This window comes from Homo sapiens, chromosome 11, assembly GCF_000001405.40.
Source record: "Homo sapiens chromosome 11, GRCh38.p14 Primary Assembly".
Taxonomy (NCBI): domain Eukaryota; kingdom Metazoa; phylum Chordata; class Mammalia; order Primates; family Hominidae; genus Homo; species Homo sapiens.
In genome coordinates this window covers 116,242,573-116,267,098 of record NC_000011.10, presented here as the reverse complement: position 1 = coordinate 116,267,098, position 24,526 = coordinate 116,242,573, and the positions used below count along the sequence as shown (strand labels likewise).

General features: G+C 46.7%; 3 annotated features.

Annotated features, from left to right (window-relative positions):
• Nucleotides 476-975: an enhancer, noted in NCBI's record as "H3K4me1 hESC enhancer chr11:116136841-116137340 (GRCh37/hg19 assembly coordinates)". NCBI's record gives its function as "activates a minimal SCP1, AML or CMV promoter by ChIP-STARR-seq in primed H9 embryonic stem cells {active_cell/tissue: H9 hESC(primed)}" and the evidence as "EXISTENCE:reporter gene assay evidence [ECO:0000049][PMID:30033119]".
• Nucleotides 976-1,477: an enhancer, noted in NCBI's record as "H3K4me1 hESC enhancer chr11:116136339-116136840 (GRCh37/hg19 assembly coordinates)". NCBI's record gives its function as "activates a minimal SCP1, AML or CMV promoter by ChIP-STARR-seq in primed H9 embryonic stem cells {active_cell/tissue: H9 hESC(primed)}" and the evidence as "EXISTENCE:reporter gene assay evidence [ECO:0000049][PMID:30033119]".
• Nucleotides 3,033-3,327: a silencer, noted in NCBI's record as "tiled region #931; K562 Repressive non-DNase unmatched - State 24:Quies, and HepG2 Repressive non-DNase unmatched - State 22:ReprW". NCBI's record gives its function as "represses a minimal TATA promoter and a strong SV40 promoter by Sharpr-MPRA in K562 cells, with weaker repression in HepG2 cells {active_cell/tissue: HepG2 | K562}" and the evidence as "EXISTENCE:reporter gene assay evidence [ECO:0000049][PMID:27701403]".

The window sequence follows — 24,526 nt, the reverse complement described above, 5'->3', positions numbered from 1 at the left end:
TATATATATATATATTTTTTTTTTTTTTTTTTTTTTTTAGTAGAGATGGGGTTTCACCATGTTGGCCAGGCTGGTCTTGAACTCCTGACCTCAAATGATACACCTGCCTTGGCCTCCCAAAGTGCTGGGATTACAGGCGTGGGCTGCCGCACCTGGCCCACTGCTTATGTTCTAATCACTGGTCACTGGGGACCCCAGTTGACATTAATTGGTCCAAGGAATCTGTGAACAGGATGGGATGACTCCTCCCAATTCATTCTAGAAAACTGGGAGGAAAGAGTCACCATTATTGAGCCCTTAGTGTATATCTCCTCTGAGGTATGCATATGAAGAGAAAAGTGAGTCCCTGAAAGTCTAGGTCAGGAACCCAAGGTTCCACAGCTGGGAGGTGTCAGAGTCTGCACCTGGGTGAGGTGTGACTCCTGCCAGAGTGCAGAGGTTGCTCCCTGAGGCATGGTTTGCAGGGCACCAGCTCTTTCATCCCTGGCTGTCTTGCTCTGGCAGCCCATCTACCAGGGCTATGCATGGCCCTAGAAGAAGAGAGGCTGAAATCTTACATAATTACCCAAATCATGGCTCCTAAATGGCCTCTGATTACAGCACTAAAGCCCCTTTCTGCCGTGCAGCCCTGGCTCTCCTGAATAGAGCTGTGACCACTTTGTATGGGATTTTTTTCTTTTAAAGAGAAAGAGATGGCTTATCCACATGCAAAGTAGGTCAGAACCTTAGCAAAGATCTTTTCAAACACTTGGCTTTTTTGAAGTCCTGCTACGAAACTTCTTTTGTTTCTCCTGCCTTTGCCTCTTCCCTCCCGCCTCTCTCCTTTTTCCAAAGGCTCAACGACATCAAATGGTTCTGACAGCGACAGTGAGGGTTGCACACGATAAGCTCAATTATAAATAATGCCCAACTGGCCCAGCTGGGCCGAGAGTGCCAACTGCAGCCAGGCTGCCATGGCCCAGAGACTCCCAGCCCCAAGCACCTTTAGGGTATCGTGGGCACCTGCCCAGCTTGCCAGGAGTGTGAGTGCCCTTGCCCTGGGTCCCACCAGCCCAGAGAGGGGAAGGGAAGGCTGGACTGGGATTGCACCCATGCCAGGGAGCCAGCGGTCTGAGTTTGCGTTGCCCATTATTCATCCAACCTTGCAAAACGCATTTGCTTCCACAGGAAATCAACCCAGCAAGCTGATTAGTGCTTTGCCTCATGGTTTGTTATCCTGAGGGCTATTTTTCTCCCCTTTGCTCTTGCTTCTCCATCTCCCTCTCCCTAACCCCACCATCACCAATGATAGGCAGAAATCAGCAAGAATGATATATAGGTATTAAGAATGTTTTCCAGTGGGATGATGTTGCTGAAGGTGGTCACACTCGATCCCAACCCAGACCCTCATGCCAATCTTGATGAGCAGGCAGAGTGAGCAGGCACTTCTGGGCCTCCAGAGATGAGCAAGGTGACTCTTTAGTTTCAGCAGGCACTAAAGGCTGCAGGGCCTGGGGGTGATGGCTCAGGGACCAGAAACTGAGTCTGCTCACTCTGGAGCTCTTTTCTTCCTCAATGAGTTGGGGTGGAAATTGAAATGGATGTGCATACCCCTGTGCATGCATGTGTGTGAGCATGTGTGTGTGTGTGTGCATGCATGTGTGTGTGTGAGCATGAGAGTGTGTGTGCCCTCACTGAAGGACAGACTTATGATCAAAACGAATTTGCTCTTTGCACATGGTGATGGTGCCATCCAGGTGTTCAGAGTGATTCTTACTCAGAAGTGTCTCCCCTTACCCACATTCCACCCTCTTGGGACCTAGCAGGAGAAAAGCCTCCATCCGGTTAGCCCTGCCATCTTTCTCGTGTCCAGTCTCAGCTTGGGTCCAAGGAACCAGTAATTTTCCAGGGAGGCTGGTGTCTTCTGAGGCATTTAGAGGGTATGTTTTTCTAGGTACTTCAAGGGATGAGTGAGGAGCAAGCTTAGGATGTTTCTTTCATTCATTGAATAGTTATTGAGTACCAACCATCTGCCAAAATGCTTCTAGGTGCTGAGGGTACAGCAGTGAACAAAAAAGTCAAACATTCATATCATCATGGAATGTGGACTCCAGTGAGAGATACAGACGGTAAACTTGATACACAAGTACATAAAGGTGGTGATTAAAGCTATGAAAAGACAAAACAGGGAAGAGGGACAGAGACTTTGGAGGTGGCTGCAGTTTTATGTAGAGTGACCAAGAAGCCTCCCTGAGAAAGTCATGTGGAAATACAGGCCTCAGGGAGTGAGGCATGAAGACATCTGGAGAATGTGTTCCAGGCAGAGGAAAAGCAAGTGCAAAGGCCCTGAGGTCCCAGGGTATTTGGCGAATCAGAAGGAGGCACTTCAACTAGATCAGAGCAGGTGAGAGGCAGCGTACCAGGTGAGTTCAGAAAGGCAGTGGGTTGGAGGGGTGTGTATGTGTGTGCAGATTTTATGGGGCCTTGACGTAACAACTTTGGCTTTTACCCTGAGTGAGATGGAAGCCCTTGCAAGGGTCTGCGTAGAAGACTGTCAGGATCTGACTCAACACTTTTAGCAGCAAGTGCTGCTCCTCCCAAGACTATTCCTAGGTTTCCCCCCTCCCCGAGCCTTCCTTGCAGTTTGCAGCCCTTTGCTCCTGAGCTTGAAGAGGCTGAGCCAGACTGGAGGGGATGTTGAGTCCCTTTTTGCCCCAGAAGAAGGCAGAGAAAAAGGAACAGAGCTCACATCAGACATGGGGACTTTGCTTGCTGGGTTCCCCTGCGACTTTGGAAGTGACCACAATCCTGGTCCATTTGCCACTCCAAGGATTCTGGAACTTTGAAGGCTGGGACAGCGCCAAGCTGGGGCCCATCTCTCCCAAGAGGCTTAGACGCACGTCTGTCTGTCTGCATCTGTTCTCTTCATTTTCCCACTCTTCGGGGTGTCCGGCTTCCATCCTTCCTGTGGGTTCTCTCTAATGACTGTGAGATGAGGTATTGCACGCAGCAGAGAAGCCAGCAGTGTGGGCAGGTCTGAAGATGCTGGATTTCTCACCTCTCCCGCTTGCTCCCTCTCTTGGCGCCACCTCTCCCCCTCCCCTCTTCTCACTCCTTTGCAGAAGAGAATGACAATGAATGTGTGAAGATTGCTTGCTGGCTGGAGCTGCTCTGAGCTCCTCCCTTCCCAACCCAGAAGCGAGTCTTTCTTTCCACAGCCTGTCCCGCCCTGTCTGTTGCTGGAGGTCCTGGCACCTCCCCTCCGTCCCTTCTGTTGCTTTCCCCTCTCCACCATTCGGAGGCCATTCCTGGTCCTTTTGCATGCAGTCATCAGGATTCCCTGGGCTGTTATATGGGAACTGGCTGCATTGGAATGCTTAATCCATAATGGAACTATTGAGTGGTGGTGGAGTGAAAACCTCCTGGTATACCCAATTGGTGTTATTTATCCCCATTGAAAGGGCCCAGGCTTTGTAGTCAATTACAGAGGATGTTTGCTTTTCAGACCTCCAAAATGGGTGACTGGAGATATCAACTTACATTCACATTAAGTTCACATGGCCCTGAGTTTGCCCTCTCCATAAGGGCAAGAGAAAAGGGGAACAGTCCTGCTACATTTCCTGTTGGTTTCCCCATCCCTTCTTCTCTCCTAGGAACTTCCCACTGTGGAACCCAGACACAGGGTCTGCCTTCTCTCAGAAGGGGGCCAGCCTTCACGGAAGGGCAGGCTTACAGCTGCCTTCCAGGGTTGGGGTGGGGTTTGTTTGCCTTTGTAAATTGCCTCTTGTTTTTGAGAGAGAGCAAAAAGAAGAGAGAAAATGAAACACTTTTGCCACCTCCTTGTTAGCTGGAGTCCCAAGTGAGCTCGGGAGCTTGCAGCTCCTTTTGTGTGGCTGGCATAGCATCTCCATGGTGATGCTCTGAGGCTTCTCAGAGCAGGGGACCAGCCTCCCTCAGCAGCATTCACCAGGCTGCTAGTACCAGGGGGAAGTGGGGAAGGGGGACCCTGCTGGATCAAGGGAGGTCCGGGTTCAGTTGGCTTTGGTGCTGGTAGAGTATTCTTGCCTCTCTGCTTCTGCAAGCCCTACAGCAGCTTTGGGACCTGGGATCCAATCAAAGAACACATCCATAGTGGGACATTTAAGGTCTTCTAGAACCTGGTTCATGCTTCTTTTTCAGATTTGTCTCCTATGACCTCCTTACCCAAAGCCACTACTTCAGCCTGGCCTGATTTCCTCACTCCTTGCCTCTGAAACAGAATCTATTCTTACTTCTGTGCTCTGGCCCCAGCTGTGCCCCTTGTCTGGGACCTTTCCCTTCCTTGGTATTTCTCTGACTTAGTTCCAGAGCCACCTTCCCTGGGAAGGCTTCCCTGATGCAGACCTGAGCACCCAGGCTCTTTCCTCTTCTAAATCCAGACAGAACCATCTGCTTCTCCTTGTCTGACTTGCTCTGGGATCACAGGTTGGCTAGTGTTGTTAATTCATTTTGCATGTGAGGGACAGGTGGCAGAGCAGAGGGAAGGTGCGGGTCCCAGTGTTGAGCTACTAGGCAACCTGTGAGTTTCAGTTTCTTCACCTGCAAAATGGGGATACTAGCAACTTCTTCTAGCCTTGTCAGGATTATACAAAGTATTGTAAGTGAAGGGAAAAGTGCTGGTATAAGCTCTGGTGCATGGTAGGTACAGCCCCTGCCCCACTTCCCACTGCACCACTCACTAAGATGCTATTATTTGCCCTCTAGCTCTCTCATTTTCCTCCTTCAGCCCTTGGCACACACATATAATGAATAATTGGTTTCGTGTGCTGATTTTCTTAATGTTTCTCTTGGGGCAGGGGTGGGTTGGGTTGTAGGGAATGGACTTTGCTGGAAATGTTCATCACTGTCTGTGCCTAGCACAGAATAGGAGCAACTGGGCTGTCAAGAAATATTTGTTGACCGACCATCTGAGCATGGATGAGGGCCTCTCCACCGCCAGATAATATGTTCCTAAAAGGCGGGGACTGCTTTTTAATTCTTTGAATCTCCACAGAGCCTTGTGTGTAGTAGGTGCTCTGCAAGTGGCTGGTTAGAGAACAGTCCTTGGTTGAACACCATGTCATGCAGGAATGAATGACCACAGATGGACTCTCCTAGGTGATTTCCGGGAACAGAAGACAGGGACCCTCTTTTGTGGAATGGCTTAGAGGGAATCTAGAGTTTTGGAAGCAGACGGGTAGACCAAATAAGTCCCTCTGAGGCCCTTCTAATCCTCCAGTTTATGGTCCAGAGAAGCAGGAAGCATTTTGTTCCACCCCCCCGGCACCAGATGGAGGGGATCAAGCCTGTCCTCCCAGAGAGCTGGGCTAGAGTTAATTCCCGTGAGCATTGCTGAAGTCCGGACAAACTCGATTTTAACTTAAGTGGAAATATTTTGATTTGAGTTAATGTACATTGGATCTGGTAAACACACAGACTATATTACTACGCACTCTGGAAATGTACAGTCCGATCAGCAAACAGATTAGTTTTAAGTGAAAAGACACTGGCAGACGCTTAAATTCATTGACTTGTTGAGAACGTCTAGATTTGGATACAAATGCACTGGAACGCTAAATCAGTTTGGTGTCTCAGCCCATCCGCACGGAGAAACTATTGATTTTAGTTGATACGCATTGATTCCCAGAAAACAGGACGGCTTTTGAAAATGAACTTCCAGTAATTTCAGGGAGAAGCTGGAGCGTTTGTCTCCACGCGAGGCTGACTTGTTTTGTTCAACGTGTCTCTGCGCCTCGAAGGAATGGAGCAGCAGACAAATATCTTCGTATGAATTAAAATGCATTGATTCTTGGAGGGAAATGATGGTCTCTGTTAAAAGCTTTTCGGAGATGTTAGCCTGCAAGAGTTTGAATAAAGCCTTTGTTCAGCACCTTCCTCTCTGCCTTCCGTTCTCCCCCAAATGGTGGCAGTTTTCAGAGTCCATCTGAAGTTGGAGTGGCAGTGGGCAGATGGGGTGGGGAGAGGAGGAGGGTACCAGTTGCACTACCAGTCCCTCCCCAGTCCCCCAATTGCAATGAGTGTGAGCATGAAACTGCTGTGCTCCAGGAAAAGACCATCGAAAGTGCTCGATGTTGATCTTATAACAAGACAGGGACAGATAAGATCTAGTGCCCAGGTAGAAGAGGGAAACAAAGCTTCCATTGATAAAGAAAACAGGAATGGAAAGGAAGAGCCTGGCGGTCAGAGTGGGATGCAGACATGAGGAGGGAAGGATGCAGTTTTGGTCCCCTGGTCAATGGCTTCTCTGTGCTGAAGGGGAAATGACTTGATGATAATAATCGAAGTGATGCAGGAGTGAGTTATCTCACTTTCTTACCACCTGAATGAGCTGGACATGAACCAGAGGTGTAATTTAGGCATTTCTCATCCTCATTAATGAATAGCTCCCATGGGGTGTGCAGACAGCAGAGCTGGAAAAATGATTCCAGGAGTGAGGAAGGAAGCGATTGGCCCTGAACTTATTTTTCATGTGTTGAGAATCCCTGGATCTTTCTGGATTAAAGCCACTTAAGACAACTTTGAGGATGTTCATGCAGTTGACTTCTCTGTAGCCACTTCTAACTCCTCCACAGCCCCCAGGACACCCTAGGTAGGTGATTAAATCCATCTGGGGTGTGTTTCTTGGCTAGGGTGGGGTAGAAAAGTGCTGACTAGTAACACTGTTCATGGAGGTTAAGCATCCTACCTGGGCAACAGGAGGGAACACTGTTGAGAAAGATCTAGAGATAGGGCCAACTGTAAAGCTGCCTCTTTTCATCTCTGGCTGCACCTGTTCTAAATCAAGAGTCACAGGTCCACATCTACTTAGCTCAGACAGTAGATTTCTCTCCCCCTCTACTCTCCTGATGCCTTTCCACTTGCCTCTACTCTGCTTTAGAAAGGGGGCTGCCTAGGTTTGGAAGCATAGAATCAAAGCACTGGAAAGGATTTTATGAATCTTTCAGTCCAACCCCCATCTGATGCTTCCACCTCTGCTCCACAATATCCTGTACCAAATGTAGTCTCAGCATGAAGTCTCTGGTGATAGACTGCACATCACCATCTGGGTGTCTTTCTCAAATAATTGTAGTCAACGCAAAGTGCTCCATACCCCCACCAAGACCAACCCCAATGTGAACGAATCTCAACCCAGTGGCTCTGGTTATGTCCTCTGGGGCATCCAGAAGGAGCCTCATTTTTCTCCCACATGGCTGTCCTTAGGCATTTGAAGACAGTTAGGACATCATACCTGCTCCAGGTAAAACATGGTAGTTTCTTCAGCCATTTCTCATATGAGATGGTTTCACCATATACTGCACCAGCTACATAGTTTATGGAGCTTCCTGGGGCAAAATAAAAATTCAAGGCCCTTTATTCAAAAATTATGAGGAATTTCAAGATGGTGGCAACAGACCGCATTAAACCACAGATGCCTTCTAAGCAGCAGCCACACAGGTTGCAAGCCCATGCAGGTGCCCCTGTCCAAATGAGGCCTCTGTTTCCAGATTTCAGTCAGCAGTGACGACTTCTAAGTGATGACTTCTAAGTGATGACCTTCTAAGCTTTGTCCCAGGGTTAGTCTGTCTGGGGCAGAAGCTGAGTGACTGTCACTTTTTCTGGATAGACTTTTTATTTTTTTGAGACAGAGTCTCACTTTGTCACCCAGGCTGGAGTGCAGTAGCACAATCTTGGCTCATTGCAACTTCTGCCTCCTGGGTTTAAGCGATTCTCCTGCCTCAGCCTCTCAAGTAGCTGGGATTACAGGTGCCTGCCACCATGCCCAGCTAATTTTTTTTTTTTTTTTGTATTTTTAGTAGAGACGGGGTTTCACCATGTTAGCCAGGCTGGTCTTGAACTCCTGATCTCAAGTGATCTGCCCACCTTGGCCTCCCAAAGTGTTGGGCTTACAGGCGTGAGCCATCGTGCCTGGCCCTGGATAGGCTCTTTAGTGTTATTGAAGCAATTGGTGATCACATTAGCTTTGCTGGCAGCCAGTGTGTACAGGTGAGTCACACTCAGCATAATGTCCACTCTAACCTCTAGGTCTGATTTATACCTGTCGCAGTTGGGCCATTTCTCTCCCACTCTTGTGCAGATAGAATCTATGGTGATAAATTTTGCTTTGCTTATAAAATCTATCCCAGTGCCTAACCACATGAATTGCCCTTTAGGCAATTTATTCACTCATCCAAATCCACTGAGAAACATTTATAGAGTGCCTGCCTTGTGCTAAGCATAGTGATAGAAGCCAGGATACAAAACTGAAATTGACCATGGCCTTAAGGAGCTTATAGTTCAGAAAAGGTACTCAAACAATAATAACACGAATTAGTAACTTAGTAATTCCTATAAGAGAGATGTACTACAAGAATGGAAAAAATGGGAAATTACTCCGGCTGGGAAGTCACGGAAGGCTTCATAAAAGAGGTAGCAGCTGAAGGGATCTTGAAGGATGAGTAGAAGTTTGACACATGGGGAGGGGAGGAGGCATAGCTCAATTTCTGATAGCCTGGTTTCCTCCAGATAAACTCCCAGATCATTTCTTTTGTCCACTCTTGGCCCAGCAATTTGGCCCTTGTGGCTCCCCGACGGATTTCTACAGCCTTTTCCATCTCTGGGGCCTTTCAGGCAGAGACCCCACTGCCTTGATGTGAAGACACTGCTAAAGTTTTTGCTGCAGTTTTAATTTCTTGACATCATCTGGGTGCGTTGGGAAAAATGAGATCTAATAATGAATGATTACAACTCTCAAGTTAAGTCTAGTTGGTTGACTAATCAGTTTGGTTAAGTGAAAATCCATAGCAAATGAGTCGACCGCAGTATGACATTTCTCCATCCAATTTAAATTAAAATCACCAACCATAATAATTTCACAATTACTCAGGGAGGGCACACTGGAGACTTGACCCCCGGAGCAGAGAAATTGCAAATGCCGCAAAGAATGGGCTGAGAGCAGGGTGATGAGGGAGTCACTTAAGATGAACTCTGCCTGAACTGCTCAGCCTCATCAGCTCCCGGGGGTGGTGGGGCTGTGAAGGATGCTGAGCTGCAGTTTCCTATTCTTGGGTGCAGCTCTGCTTCTCTTCCCTAGGGTGGCAGGAATTCATCCCTTCTGGCAAGAAAGCCCAGGGAGGGCTCTTCCACCAGGAGAGCAGGATCTCGCTTCTCTAGATAAGAGGGTTGGGAAAGAGGTGAATGTTATTCTATTTCAGGTTCTCCCAGATTTAGACTATAACTTCCTGGACAGTGGGTGCTACATCTATTTATCTTGAAATATGAATGCTAATGCATGTTAACAGCTGATTAATAGGTTTTTGATAATGACGGTGATAATGACAGAGCAAAGGGAAAGGATTGTATTTTATCTAATACGACAGATGTTTATCTGCTGAACATCTCTGTCATACTGGGCATGATATTAGGCACCAGGTAGAGATGAATTACATATATAGCCCTTCCTTTCAGGAGCCATAGTCTCTTGTGGCAGCCAGATAGGTAAACACTTAATATTAATGCAAGGTAAAATGTCATTGATTTTCATTAAGTAACTTGAAGGATAAAAATGATTTTGATCAGGGAGTTTCATGTGAAAGTTTCGTGTGCTGGTTACCTCACCTGTAAAAGGCATTTAATAGCAGTACTACCTCAAAAAGTTGTTGTGAGATGAATGATGAGACTGAGCTGCAAGTTGTCCATCAGTCACTTTCTGTCCTTCTACAATGATAGAACTCCCAAATGCTAGTTGATCATACAGCTGCCTGGAATCAGGACTGCATTTCCCAGCCTCCCTTGCTAGTGCAGCCACGTGGCTAAGTTCAGACCAATCAAATGCAAATAGAAGTATGTGCACTTTCTAGGACATGCCCTTAAAGAGAGGGTGCATGCTTTTCTCCTCTTACTTCCTTTCTGCTAGCAGGAGTTCAGACATGGCTGGAGCTGGAGTAGTCACCATGGAGCATAAAGTAACTTTGGAAGTGGAAGGCAGGCAGGTAGAGCAATAAGATAAAATAAGATAAGATAGAAGGGACCTAGGTTTAAACACTGTGATATGCATACTAGCCCTAGAGAGTTTACCTCTGGATCTAAAATAAACACCTAGCTTACCTAAATCGCTGTTGTCTTGGGTTTACTACCACTCCTAGCCAAGCTGAATTCGAACTGGTTCAAATGAGTTGCTGCACATTAAACACTTAGAACAGTACTTAGCACAAAATAAAGGCTTAAAAATTGGTGGCTAATAGTATTTTTATGCTCTTACTCTAAAGGAGGTAGAAGACAACATCTCTGCCTATTGAGCAGCAAGGTGCTTGCCTTATTCCTCCATGGGAACTCTTGGTTGAGTATCCCAGCGTCTTGCATTAAGGTCAAGCCCCGGCTCTTTGGCCCCTCCTCCTCCCGCTGTCAACTTTTCTCACACTCTGTGCTTACCATCCTCAATCCCCCCACCCCTATACCAGACCTAAATTCTACTGTCACCATCTTAGCCATTACTTATAGAGAGAAGCAGCAACGGCAGCCCAGGAGAAGTATGTGAGCAGGGAGTCAGGTCCTGTGGATCAATTTGTAATTTTTCTCGTGGCAGCAAGAGGAGCATGAGCGATGTGTGCACTAAATCCTGGCAATGGCAGCAGCACGGCAGCATGCCTTGTCTCGAATTATTTATCTTTGTGTTCCTTGGCTGAGTGGGATTGGGGCCCTGGGAGGAGGGGAAACAGTGGGTGCGTGTAAGTGCTCTCCAGAGTAAGCCGTCCTGGGGGGTTGGGAGCAGTGGTGAGGCGGATGATTTTCTTTTTCCTGTTGGTCCTCTCAACCATGGAATACCTTGCTATAGGAAAGGGCAGAGGAGCTCTGTCTCTAGGCAGGTGGAGGCACTTCCAGTTACTGGGCAGATGAAAGTTGGAATTACTCCTTTTCATCGCTGGATCACATATTAGAAAAATGTTGAAATTACTGCCTTAGAAATAAGGAGTGGCTCCTTGCCCATTTTGGGGTGTGTATGTTGAGAATGTTTAAGCGAATATTTTGTCTCCAGCAGGGAATGTGGAGGCTCTCCTGGCTGGGGAGGGTTCATAGTTATTAGATGAAAGTGTGAGTTTGATAGACATTATTAGTGCTCATCAATATTTCCAAACATCTTCCTTTTTCTGTTCACATGAAAGAATTAGTCAGAATTAAGTGGCTAGTTCTGGCTGTGGAGTGTAACCAGGAATGACATGTAAGCACTTAAGAGTAGGTGTGTATTTCTCCATGTCCCTCCTGCCCCCCTCCCCCGACCCCGCCAACCTTCCCCTCTGCTGAATCCGGAGATGGTGATGTCATGATCTGGTGGAACTTACATCAGCCTGGGTCCCTGAATGACGTGTGGAGCACAGCCCGATGCCCAACAGCATTAGGCATATAGATTAGTTAAACAAATTTGTTGTCTTAAGTGACTGGGATTTTGGAATTGCTAGTAACTGTAACACAAACTAATATACCCCAGTGAGTCATGGCAAATCAAAGATACGTGCATTTCTTCACTTAACAGAAGGCTGGGGTTAGGAAACCAGACATTAGAGTCTGAATGGGCCACTAGACCCTTGTGCAAGTGGTTTAGGCAGAGAAAAAGCCAATAACAAGTGCTGGTATATAGAACTGGGGATGGATGAGCCTGGGAATGATGCCAAGAGTGACACGGTCAGTTGGAGATCTGAGGATGTATGTGGGACAGATGACACTGTCATGCTGACATTCTGCTGTGGCATAAATCATGAGAGGGGAGGCTATGTTTGTGGTCTCAAGACCGAAGGGCAATTCTGGAATCCTCCTTAGATCTTGTTAGGGGTTGAACTGTGTCCCTCAAAATGCATATGTTGAAGTCCTAGCCCCTGTACTTCAGAATGTGACCTTATTTGGAGACAGGATTTTTTTTACAGAGATAATCAAGTTAAAGTGGTCATTAAGATGGGCCCTAACCTAATATGACTGGTGCTATGGACTGAATTGGGTCCCTCCAAAATTCTGACATTAAAGCCCTCACCCCTAATGTAACTGTACTTGGAGATAAGGCCTTTAGAGATGTAATAAGGGTTAAATGAGGTTCTAAGGATGGAGCCCTAATCCAATGGGACTGGTGGCCTTATAGAAGAGGGAAAGACACCACAGATCTCTCACTCTGTCCATGCACACACAGAGGAAAGTCTGTGTGAGGACACAATGAGAAGGAGGCCACTTACAAGCCAGGAGAGGCCTCACCAGAAACCAACCCTGACAGCATCTTGATCTTGGACTTCTAGTCTCCAGAACTGTGAGAAAATTGATGTGTTGTTTAAGCCTTAAGCCCAGTCTGTGGTGTTTTTGTTGTGGCAGCCCCAGCTAACCAAGACAGACTTTGATCTAGGACTTGTTTCTTAAGATTCTCTCATTTTCGGCCGGGCGCGGTGGCTCACACCTGTAATCCCAGCACTTTGGGAGGCCGAGGCGGGTGGATCACGAGGTCAGGAGATCGAGACCATCCTGGTTAACGTGGTGAAACCCTGTCTCTACTAAAAATACAAAAAATTAGCCAGGCGTGGTGGCAGGCACCTGTAGTCCCAGCTACTCAGGAGGCTGAGGCAGGAGAATGGCGTGAACCTGGGAGTTGGAGCTTGCAGTGAGCCGAGATCACACCACTGCACTCCAGGCTGGGTGACAGAGCAAGACTCCGTCTCAAAAAAGAAAAAAAAAAAAGATTCTCCCATTTTCTCAGAAATCCCCAAGTGTTCAAGTGTTCTGAGCCAGGCTAGGTGAGTCCTGTATAGACCTTTTTGTACAAAGTCAGGTTTTTTTTGAGGTGGATGAGAAAGAGAAGAGAGGAAAATAATGAAAATATTAACACCTCCTTGCACTTTTAACAAAATGCTTTTTTCTACATTATCACACTGGATTCCAATTACAACCCTCTAAGAGAGGGATACTTATCATAGGCTTATAGCATTTATTCATTTGCTCAGCAATATTATTTGAGCATCTACTATGTTTCGGGGTTTTATGCTAAGAGCAGAGGAGGCTACAGTGCCTGCTCTTGAGTGGCTGAGGGAATTGAGGCTCTAGGAGGATAAGCTGATAGCTCCATCCGACATCGCTAGTCAGGATTTCATCCTGGCTGCTTAGCTCTGTGCCCGAGTTCTTGGCAAAAAGGAGCAAAGCGGGGACTTAGGCTGCAACAAACGCTGACAGGCCCTTGCATTCCAGCAAAAGCTGTCTCCTTTTCATCCTTGGGAAGCTGGGACCCAGTGTCACACCTGGGCAGCATGTCCAGCTGTCCATTGCCTGCATTCCAGTCAGTCTACACCTTCTTCTTTTGCTGGCAGAACCTTCACTTTGTCCAGCCGTCCTGGACCCAGGTGCCTCAGGGAAAGCTCGCTTTCCCCATGCCCAAAGGATGCATCCCGTAAGGAGCCAGCCAATCACACTAAGCCTATTCTACCTGTAATTGTAACCAGCGAGACACAGCCTGCAGGGGATTCTTAGAAGATTTCTCACCCTAAAATGGGCACATCCTTTATTTTTTATATTTTTTTCATTTTTTGAGACAGAGTCTCACTCTGTCATCCCAGCTGGAGTGCAGTGGCACAATCTTAGCTCACTGCAGCCTCTGCTTCCCAGGTTCAAGTAATTCTTGTGCCTCAGCCTCCCAAGTAGCTGGGATTATAGCTGCACGCCACCACACCTGGCTAATTTTTGTATTTTTAGTTGAGACAGGGTTTCTCCATATTGGCCAGGCTGGTCTCAAACTCCTGGCCTCAAGCCATCTGCCTGCCTTGGCCTCCCAAAGTGCCAGGATTACAGGTGTGAGCCACTGCCCCTGGTCTTTTTTTTTTTCTGAGACAGAGTCTCCCTCTGTTGCCCAGGTTGGAGTGCAGTGATGTGATCTCAGCTCACTACAGCCTCAGCCTCCCTTGGTTCAGGTGATCCTCCCTCTGCAGCCTCCTGAATAGCTAGGACTACAGGTGCCTGCTACCACACCAAGCTAGTTTTTGTATTTTTTGTACAGATGGGGTTTTGCCATGTTGCCCAGGCTGGTCCCGAACTCCTTGACTCAAATAATTTACCTCCTCGGCTTCCCAAAGTGCTGCAATTACAGGTGCAAGGCACCATACCCGGCTGCATCCTATTTTTTGAGGAGTATTATTGTGTGAGGACATGATGCTTACAGCTCCTGCAGCCACTCTACCACCACAAGGAGAAAAGCTTAAGGACAATTGCCCAACACCCTTAGGATGGCAGAGCAGGGAGGGAAAGAACCTAGGCTCTTGATATTGATTGACTGATTTGATGGGGCTTCTTATTGTATCAGATGATAAGTGTTCTCATTGCCTAAGCCCTTTTGGGTTGGACACTTTGTTACTCACAGCTAGATGCTTCCTGACTAACATAGGCAGAAACAATCAACCAGCTTGTGCCTACTAAGCGCCCACTGCCTCCACCACTAACTCAGTGTCAAACCCTGCAGGTCTCATGATCTTTCTGAGCCTCATCTTCTCATCTGTACAATTAGGGTAGAGATAAGGGTTTATTTCAGGTCTAACCCTTCAAATTTTACTGTGGGTTCAGCACTGAGAGAGGTAGTCTGGGGGATGCAAAGAGACAATAATATGGCTGGTGGAGGAGAAGAGGAAGAGAGATTCCCCCTTCCTCACTGTCTGAAGGAGAGAAAATGTGTGTGAGGAAGAGCCAGCTGAGAAAGGAAGTGTGGGCTGCCTGCTAGGAAAAGTGCCTGGGTTACACGCACCCTGGGAGCCATTTTGGGATCCCTCATCTCACTATCCTCTGACTGGTGTCGGCTGGCACTTGGTTTGCTCACAGCACTTCGTGCCTGCTACCTTTCCTTTGGCTGGACTGGCTCTTCCTGGAGGGATAGGAGTGGGGTGGCAGATCATGCTGGTGTTTTCTAAAACCAGAAAGGAGAGGGAAGATGAGAGTCTGTCCATGACCCTCACATGGTTTTCTACCCAGTCTCAGAGATACCTTAGATGCTTAATTTCATGTGTCAACTTGACTGAGCTAAGGGATGCCCAGATAGCTGATAAAACATTATTTCTGGGTGTGTCTATGAGTGCCTTTCTAGTAGGTGTAAGCATTGGAATCCATAGACTGAGTAAGAAGATCTCTCTCCAAGTGTGGATGGGGGTCATCCAATCTGTTGAGGGACCAATTAGAACAAAAAGGCAGAGGAAGGACAGATTCTCTCTCTCTGCTTGAGCTGGGACATCCATTTTCTCCTGCCCTCAGGCATTGCCACTCCTGGTTCTTGGATCTTCAGACTCAGGCAAGGACTTGTACCATTGGCTCCTCTGGGTTCAGGCCTTTGGGCTTGGACTGGAACTCTGTCACTGGATTTCCTGGGACTTTTGCTTACAGATGGTAGATTGTGGGACATCTCAGCCTCCATAATTGCATAAGCCAATCCCTCATACTAAATCCCTTTTTGTATATTTATATATATCCTACTGGTTCTGCTTCTCTGGAGAATGCAGATTAATATATACCTGCATCAGAATTTTCAGAATCCCTGTTCAAGGCAGGCTCCGACTTCCACCTGAGGCCCAGGGAATCAGCTAAGCTGGGCGCTGTGCCTTGTGCTTCTGTGCATGGCCATTGCTTGTAACCCTCACAACGAGGCTGGAAGGTGGGCACTTATGTTACAGAGAAGGAAACCGTGGCTCAGCAAGGTTAGCTCTCTCCACCAAAGTCACATGACTGATCAGTGATGGGGCTGGGACTCATGCCTGGGATTTGTCTGACCCCTTCCCTGTTCCTGGCCTGGTATATGAGTGAGGTCTTGGATCACTGGGGCTGACCTCCTTTTCTAGCTTGCTCTGCTACCACTAAACCTAGGCTCTGGCGGCCTCAGGGATCCCAAACTCTCAATGCTCTTCTGGCCTTGGCAGGGGCTCAGTCCTCTGGTGGGAAGTTTCTTCTTTCAACCTCTGCCTCTTTCTGTGAAATTTTACTTCTGTATTTTTCTAGTGTCAGTTCAGCAGCTATCCTCACTTTTAGGGTTCCTGTGACATGTACCTCCCCACTGCTTCCCTCCCTACCAAACCAAACCAACCCAAACCAAACCAAACCAAACCAAACCAATCTCTTTTCATTATATTTATAGGTCTTGGTATTCCTTTATTTTTTCACTTAATATTCATCAGATATGATTGAGCACTTATTATGTGTCTAGTGCTAGAGAGAACAAGAGTAAACCTAAATAGACATGGTGACAACCCTCACAGAGTCATGGTCAAGTACACTTCTCATATTGAATCCCAACTGTCTGTCTGTATATATATCTCATCTCACCAGTGCTGTGCTATTGATGATAACAAACCAGGTCTTACAGCCTCCAGGACAACATGTACCGCATAGTAGCTGGAATAAATAATGAAATGGGGGAAAAGGGCTGTGAAGGGTAAGGTAGGTACAAGAGGAACATTTCAAGGAGGTCAGGCAGTTTGCCTTCTGTTGCTGCCCTCCAAAGAGACTAAATTGTCTAATAAATGGTTTTCCAGCCTGAGGCCCTGGAGAAGGCTGACATGCCTGAGGCCCGAGGCCAATGCCCAGCCCAAGCCCATGTTGGGAGGATGCATTATGAATGCAAGGTGTAGGAAATAGAAATTATTAAACTCACAGATAGGGACAGAAACGGCTTTGTGTGGCTGCAGAGTTGGGAAATTATGCTGAAGCAATGCATTGCAAATCAGCCTGTGCTCTGCAGAGAGGGGCTTTTATTCTCCAGGTCCCGAAGTTCCTTCGGCAGCTTTTGTGTGCAGCCGCGCAGGCCCTTCTGGGAGGAAAGAGAAGCTGGTAATTTCGTGGCTGATTGGCAGACTGTCCAGAGCCAATAAAGATATTTGTTTCCTTGCTGAAGTGCTCACAAACCCCAATCTCAGCTCCTCAATTTTGTCTTTCTTTCTCTTGTGATTCCCTCCTTCTTTTTCATTATGGAGAGGAATGAAACGTGGGCTGGCTTTCTCCATTAACACGGTTTAGTGTGAGCCCAATGGGGACAGTGTGCCCCATCCTGGGGACCCATGAGGACACAGGACATTTGCCCAGCATACCTGGCCTTTTCCCCGGACATCTAATTTGCTTTGGCACAATCCATGTAGACGAACTATGCACCTTTGGTGCCTGGGAGAGCTTGATGTTTGCATTTTCATGAATCCACCCAACATCCCTATGACGTTTGGCATTGTCTGCTCCATTTTAAGGATGAGAACTGGTGACTTGTCTGAGTTCCCAGAGTTAGTAAATTGTGGCATTGGAATTTGAAGTCAGGTTTATCTGGTTCTGAAGTCTGTGGTCTTGGATTTTGAACGCCCCTAGTGGTATCTCTTTCTAGTAGCACTGATGGCATTTATGCTGATGAAAAGTGCCCTCATTGGTGACTCTAAGACTGGGTTCTTCAACTGGTCAATCCTAAGTCACAGGAACATCTTGAAATTTTAACAAAAGTATCTAAGTTTTGAAATTGAAGGGATCTTGCAGACTGGAATTCATTCCCTTTCCTGCCTGGGCTCACTTTTTAGATAATGAAACTCAGGCCAGACAATTTAGGAAATGGCCCAGGGTCACAGCTGACCCAGGAGTCTGCCAGGAAGAATCCTCACTCCCAGTTCAGTATCCTGTCCATTTTATCTGCAGTATCAATTAGGACTAGGTTTAGCTATGAGTAACAGACACCCAAAAAAACAGTGACTTAACAAAGACTACTGTCTGATGAAAAATAAATCAGAAACAAACAACTCAGATGTAAAATAAATCAGAAGCAATATAGAAGACCACTCTGATGTAAAGTAAATCAGAAGAAGGAATGGCAGCTCTGCAGTGTTAAGGACCAAGACTCTTTCTATCATGTCACTTTGCCATGTGTAACTTCTTTCCCAAGTTCTCTTATGGTCCAAGGTGGCTCCTGGAGCCCCAACCATTACATCCAACGACTAGAAGGAGGAGGCCTTTTCCTTAAGGAAACTTTCTGGAGGTTTCATGCAACACTTCCATCTCACTAGACAGAATTTAGTCTATGATCACGCTAGTTAAATAGGAGGCTGGAAAATGTCATCTTTTAGCTAGGTGCCTGGTTAAAAGTCAGGATTTTGTTCTATTATTAAGAAAGCAGGAGACAGAAGCTACTGGGGAACAACTAGCAGCCTTTACCATAGCTCATTAGTCTCTAAACTGATTGCCAACACCATACCTCCTGGTCTGCAGCTCTAGGAATCCTCAGCTGAGAGGAAAGCTTAAACCAGCAGGTCTTTACTACCAGAAAAATAAGTTTCTGTGTTTTTTTGTTTTTCCCCTCTAGATAAAGGCGGGACACTTTAGTTCTGTAAGAGTGGGCATCATGAGACTTTTTAATAGAATTCCACCTAGTATAATTTTTTTGGATTTTGGTCCACTTCAAAGACATCATTGGTATAGCTTTAATGACTTCCTGGATTTTTTTTTTTTTTTAGACAAAGTCTCACGCTGTCACCCAGGCTGGAGTTCAGTGGCACGATCTTGACTCACTGCAACCTCCGTCTCCTGGGTTCAAGTGATTCTCGTGCCTCAGCCTCCTGAGTAGCTAGGATTACAGGTGCCTGCCATCACACCAGGCTAATTTTTGTATTTTTAGTTGAGATGAGGTTTCACCATGTTGGCCAGGCAGGTCTCAAACTCCTGACCTCAGGTGATCCACCTGCCTTGGCCTCCCAAAGTGTTGGGATTACAGGCATGAGCCACTGCACCTGGCCGACTTCCTGGATTTTATAAACCATGAGGGTAGACGTTTATGATAGACAAAGGAAGTCGTGATGCATGTGAGTGTGCCAGTGTATGCGCACATATTTTTAGAAGGGAAGGGAAACCTCCACTCCACTTTTCCAGTCATGTCCCAGAATGAAAAAGCAGAAAGCCCTGATTTTGTTCATGTGCTGATTCTTCAAGTAAGGTGGAGCCAGGGCTGCTTCTCTGAATGCCTAGAGGCAATTAGGGGCTTGGAATGAGAGAAACAGAATGTGGAAGCTGGGGAAGCAGCCTAGAGACAGTGAGTCCAACCACCTGCTTCTATAGATACAGAAATTGAGGCCCAGCGATGTTGCAGGTTTCCCAAAATCTACGGAGCTGGGATCAGGATCCCCCCTTTCTGATTCCTAGGCTAGGGCTGTTTTGCCTATACCTAAGGCTATTTTGCTTTCTCCAAAATAGATTTGTGTATGGTTCTCTACCTGTTTCATGTGTGCCACTATTGTTTCCCCAACGAAAGATCTGAACCCCTATTATGTTTAAAGGACTATGCAAGACTTTGGTGTAAGGAGAAAAAGATGAATAAGACACAACTCCCCTCTTAAAGAATTTACAGTCTAAAGAGGAATGCAGATGCATTAACAGCTAACTATAGGGCAAGACAGAAAGCACTAAGGGCTACATAGACATATACTTGATGACTGCGGTGGAAAGGCTGATTTGGCAGGATGGGGGGATTGAGGAAGACCTCATGGAGGAGGTCTTTGCGGAAGAGAGATATTGTGGGAAGAGGTAATCTAGATTAGAAGAAAGCATGAATTGAGGCCTGAGAATCACAATACTACTTAATATCCCCCTGCCCTTGGTGCTATTATGGAATTTGGGAGGGCTCAATAGTAGGACCCAAAGAGGGAAAGCCTACCAGGGCCTCTTCTGTCTCCAGGGAGGAGCTCTAGTCCTGCTAACTTGGGCAGTGTTCTTGGTGCTGTTTGGCCATTAAAGTGGCTGAAATAAACAAAGCTGGTGCCGGAGTCCTCACCCAGATCAGCTGAACCAGAGTCTCGATGGGTGGGCACTCAGGTGTCTGTCTTTATTTACAGCCCCCTAGGTGATTCTGATGCCCACTGGGGCATTTTAGAGCTAAGAAGAGGTGACTGAGCCCTGACATAGATGACAAGAGGAGGATGTGGGGATTATCAGCTGAACTCCACAGTAGCAGCTTTAAGGGCAGGAGGCCAGGAGGGAGAACTGAGTCTTCAGATCCCAGGTGGCACCAAACTAACTCCCCACTATGCACATGAGCAGACAAGAACCATGGAAGAGGGAAGCATTGTCCAGGCCCGGCAGCTTGTTAAAGCAGCACCATCATTCAGACTTTTGTCCTTCCCAGTCCCATCCAGAGCCACCTTCACCTCAGTATGTAGCCTCTCTCTGCCTGTTGCTCAGTCTATGCTGAAGCCTTTGCATGACTGATGTGGCTTGACTGTGTCCCCACCAAAATCTCATCTTGAATTGTAGTTCCTGTAATCCCCATGTGTCATGGGAGGGACTAGGTGGAGATAAGTGAATCATGGGGGTAGTTTCCACCATCCTGTTCTCTTGACAGTGAGTTCTCATGAGATCTGATGGTTTTATAAAGGGCTTCCCCCTTGGCTGGGCACGCTTTCTCTCCCAACCGCCCTGTGAAGAGGTGCCTTCTGCCATGATTGTAAGTTTCCTGAGGCTTCTCCAGCCATGTGGAACTGTGAGTCAATTAAACTTCTTTCCTTTATAAATTACCCAGTCTCAGTTATGTCTTTATTAGCAGTGTGAGAACAGACTAATATAGTGATGAACAATGATAAAAAGGCTTGGGTGACTGTTGGTGCCTCTCTTCATTTGTGTGCAGGGGAGGTCTGGCTGTTCCCAAGAATGTGAATTCAAAGGTTGCCTGATTCTTGTTTCTGCTTAACATTCTTCTTGCTTTTGGGGCAGGCATACGGAGCTGGTTCTTCAGAGAAGAAATGGCTAGTTGTGGTGGTGACGGTGGGGGAAGCTTGTTCCTCTTCCATGCATGTTTGAGAGTGGAGAGGGGACAAGAAAGGCAGTGCTCAACAGCTAAGGGAGCAAGGGCTGGTGGGAGGAGTGAGGATGGTCACCCACTAGGAGCTAGCTGAATATGGCTGAGATGCCCCATGGTAAAGGGACAGCCGGCAGCAGGCATGGCGCTGATCTGCAGTTGGTTTTTTGCTGTGGTAAAGGCATTGCTCGTTCAGTTGCTTTACCTTGGAGTCAGTGGAGTCCAGACGTGTTACATTTTTCTTCTTATACACTCCCATGAACCTCCATACCTCTACTTAAAAATCCTTTTATCAGCATTTAGTAATCTGCGATTGTATCTTCAGGGCCTGTTTCCTCTGAGAGTAGGGACCTCCTTGAGGGTCCAGTCTGTCTCCCCCTGTATTCTCAGTGCCTCACACAGAGCCCAGAAAGAGGCAGGTACTTGATAGATGTTTGTAGATAGTGCGATGGGGTGACTGATGGGAGAAACATTCAACTGGACCTTTGGGAGGCAGATTCTTGCCTGATTCTGCCCCTGGCACTCTGTGGGATCGTGAGCAAATCATCTCTTTCTGTGCCTTGTGTCTTCCCAGTGAAAATAAGCAAAACTAAATCTGCAGTGAGCATCCCAATCTGTTTCTTAACAACTGAACCTTATCGGATGGGACAGTTACCTGAGTTTCCAGGCCCTGGTTCTAATTCCAGCCCTGCCCCTTACTAGTACTCCCACCACTGAGCCTCAGTCCTATAGGGAGTTATGGAGATTAATCCACAGAACAGGTGGAAGGTGCTTGGAGAAGCTTTGACGTGCTGGACACATGGATGGTTTTCTTCATACAAGGCCCCATTTGTTCTAACCAAGGACAGAACAAAATGTCTATGTATGAGAGATTTCAGACATTAGAACTTACCAAGAGATAGCCCAGATGGATGTCAGAACTAGAGGTAAAAAAAAGGAAATAGTACAACTGTAAGGAAGTGGGGGTGTCTAACTTATTGGAGGGCTGGATCAGAGCTGGTCTTGTCTGGATGAAGGGACTAGATTAGAAGTCTCAGGAGGACTTTGTCAATCATTAGGGTCAATAGCTGAATCAGTTTGGAGACAGAGACTTCTGCTCCTTTGCTGATTTCCCCGAAGCTCTGGGTAATGGTGTTTGCATGGCTGTAGATTTCCAGTGAACACCTGCCGAAGCCTTTGCCTTGGGAGAGGCTCCAGCAAAATCCGGGAGCTTTGGGGAAAAGCCTGCCAGGCTGGCAGCTTGGTTTGCTCCTTCCTGCAGGGTCCCCCAGTCCTTACTAACAGAGAGACCAAGAACCCAGGTGTCCCTTCCAGGCTCTCCTGGCCTGCAAGGCCCCCTCTCAGTACCAACTTGGGGCTTATCCCTCTTGGCTCTTGTGTGGCTCGGGAGGGACCCAGACCCAATCATCTCAGCTCCAAGAGAGAAAAGGAAGAACATCTGTTAACACAAATGCTTTTCTAATTTCTTTTTAAATCTCACTCAGCATCTGCGTTAAACAAGGCTGATCGGCTTGTACAATATTTAATTTTGGAACCATTTCAAAAGGCGCTGGTAAGAGGGGAGCAATGGGGAGAACAGCAGCCTCCTAAATCTTTAATAGCGCGCTGGTTAGGAGCTTCCGCCGGGCTCCGTCCTAATCACACAGAGGAGAATAAGCAGAGACAGAATTTCTTAATAACAAATACCTTTGCAGCACCTCATTAAATCACTGCATTTCAGAGACACAGCAGGACACTTGGGTGAATAAATAGTGCAATCTCCTACTCTGAAGGATTTTCACATCTGAGTTATTTCTCCTGCATATGATCAGTTCCTTTCTCTCTCTCTCTCTTTTTTTATTTTCACAAATGATTTTAGCTGATGAGTTCAATTAATGAAGACATTAGAGGCAAAGTTGGAAAAGCACTTCTTTCCTCTCCCCCTTTTTCATCTCTTCCTCTCCTCCACCTTATAACCATAGAGCCTTATTTTGTGTGTTTTTGCAGTTTAACAAACGTCACTGCCAAATGAGAGATGAGAGAAGGAGAGGGGGTGGAGAGGGCCACGCTGGTTGATGTGAAAACAAAGCCTTCCCTGGCTGGGTGTTTATGAAGATGCTGATAAATGGGGCCGGGGAGAGAGAGGCCGGCTGGGATGGCGCAGAGGTGCTGCAGGGCCTCTGGCCACCTGTGGATCCACATCCCTTGCTATCAGCAGCTGCACCTGATCTTCAGTGGGGCCTGCAACAGTACAAGGAACTGAAGAAAACCATGTGTCTTCAGTTGCACTTCAGTGTTTATTGAGCACCTAATGTGTGCCAGGCCCTGAACTAGCTGCTTAGAATTAATGCTGTCATCAAAAATCTAAGCCAGAGAGCCTCTTCTCACATTGTCCCTTACTACAGTTGACTCAATTAATCAATCAATATTTCAAGATTTTAATGAAGAGGCCATAAACTGGCAATCCACAGACTGTGTCCAGCTTGAAGACATTTTTTGTTTGTCCCAAATACTGTTGGCTAACTCTCTTTATTTTTTGCTTGTTGACTCTTGTTTTAAATAGAATCAGTTGGCTGAGTGTCGCATTTTTAAAACTGTGGTTTATAACCCCTGGGTGGTTCTTAAAAATCAGTCTAGAAGGGGAACCCAAGTTGCCTATGCTTAAGTTTTGCTTTTGGGAGAAATCTGTCTCTAAGCTCATTCTTCAGTATATTTTCTGAGTCTTTCAATATATGGGGGATTATTTGCTCTTACTTTCATAAATAAGCTCCACTTTGAGAACAAAAATGGAATAGGATAAGTAGGATAGGATAAGATGGGATGGAATGGAATAGAATAGAATAGAAAAGAGAAGAAATAAAAGAAGAGAAAACGGTCAGTATGGGTTGCACATGGTAAGGTAGGTGTTATTCCATTTTTGCATGTGGTGTATTTACGTGCTAGTCTGTGATCTAAAATGCATTTCTTGCTGTGGGCCCCAGAAAACAAACTGGAAAGCCTCTGTACTCATTTGAAATGCCCAGCACCAAACATTTGCCTTATTACAGAGCATCCCTAGACACGTTTATCCTGATCCTGACTGCCTGAGCTTGAAGCCCACTTGGTCACATATTTCCCATGTGACCTCGCTGTTGGTGTCCAGTGGTAGCCAGTGATGTGGTTGTAAGTGGCCAGTGGTGTCAGTGTCCTAAGCAGATGTCCCTGAGGTTTGGAAATGGCAGGCTGTGTCTCCCTTGGATCCTGCCTGTTTTCCAAGTTCTTTTCTTCAGCGTTCTCTTCAATTCTGTGAGCTCACCATTGTCCCTCTAATAAAGTATTTACTACCAACCAGAGTTGGCTTCTGTGCTTGCAATCGAAAACCCAGACTGCCACATTTAGAAATCAGGAGATTTCACATAAAAGTTTGAATCTCCAGTTTCCTTTGAAGGAAAAAAAGTCTTGTGTTAGGCCTGTGTTTCCCCACAGAAAACCTATAGATAGTGCATTGCTTTTGTGTGGCTGTGGTAACAAAGTGCCAGGAATTGGGTGGCTTAAGGCAGCAGAAATTGATTCCCTCACAGTTCTGGAAGCCAAAGGTCCACAATTTGCCAGGGCTGTCCTCCTTTTGGAGGATGGATGGAGAATTTATTCCTTGCCTCTTCCAGCTTTTGGTGGCTCCCAGCATTTTCAGGCTGGTGGCCATGTCGCTCCAGTATCTGCCTCTGTCTTCACGTGGACTTTTCCTCTGTGTGTCCATGTCTTCTCCCTCTG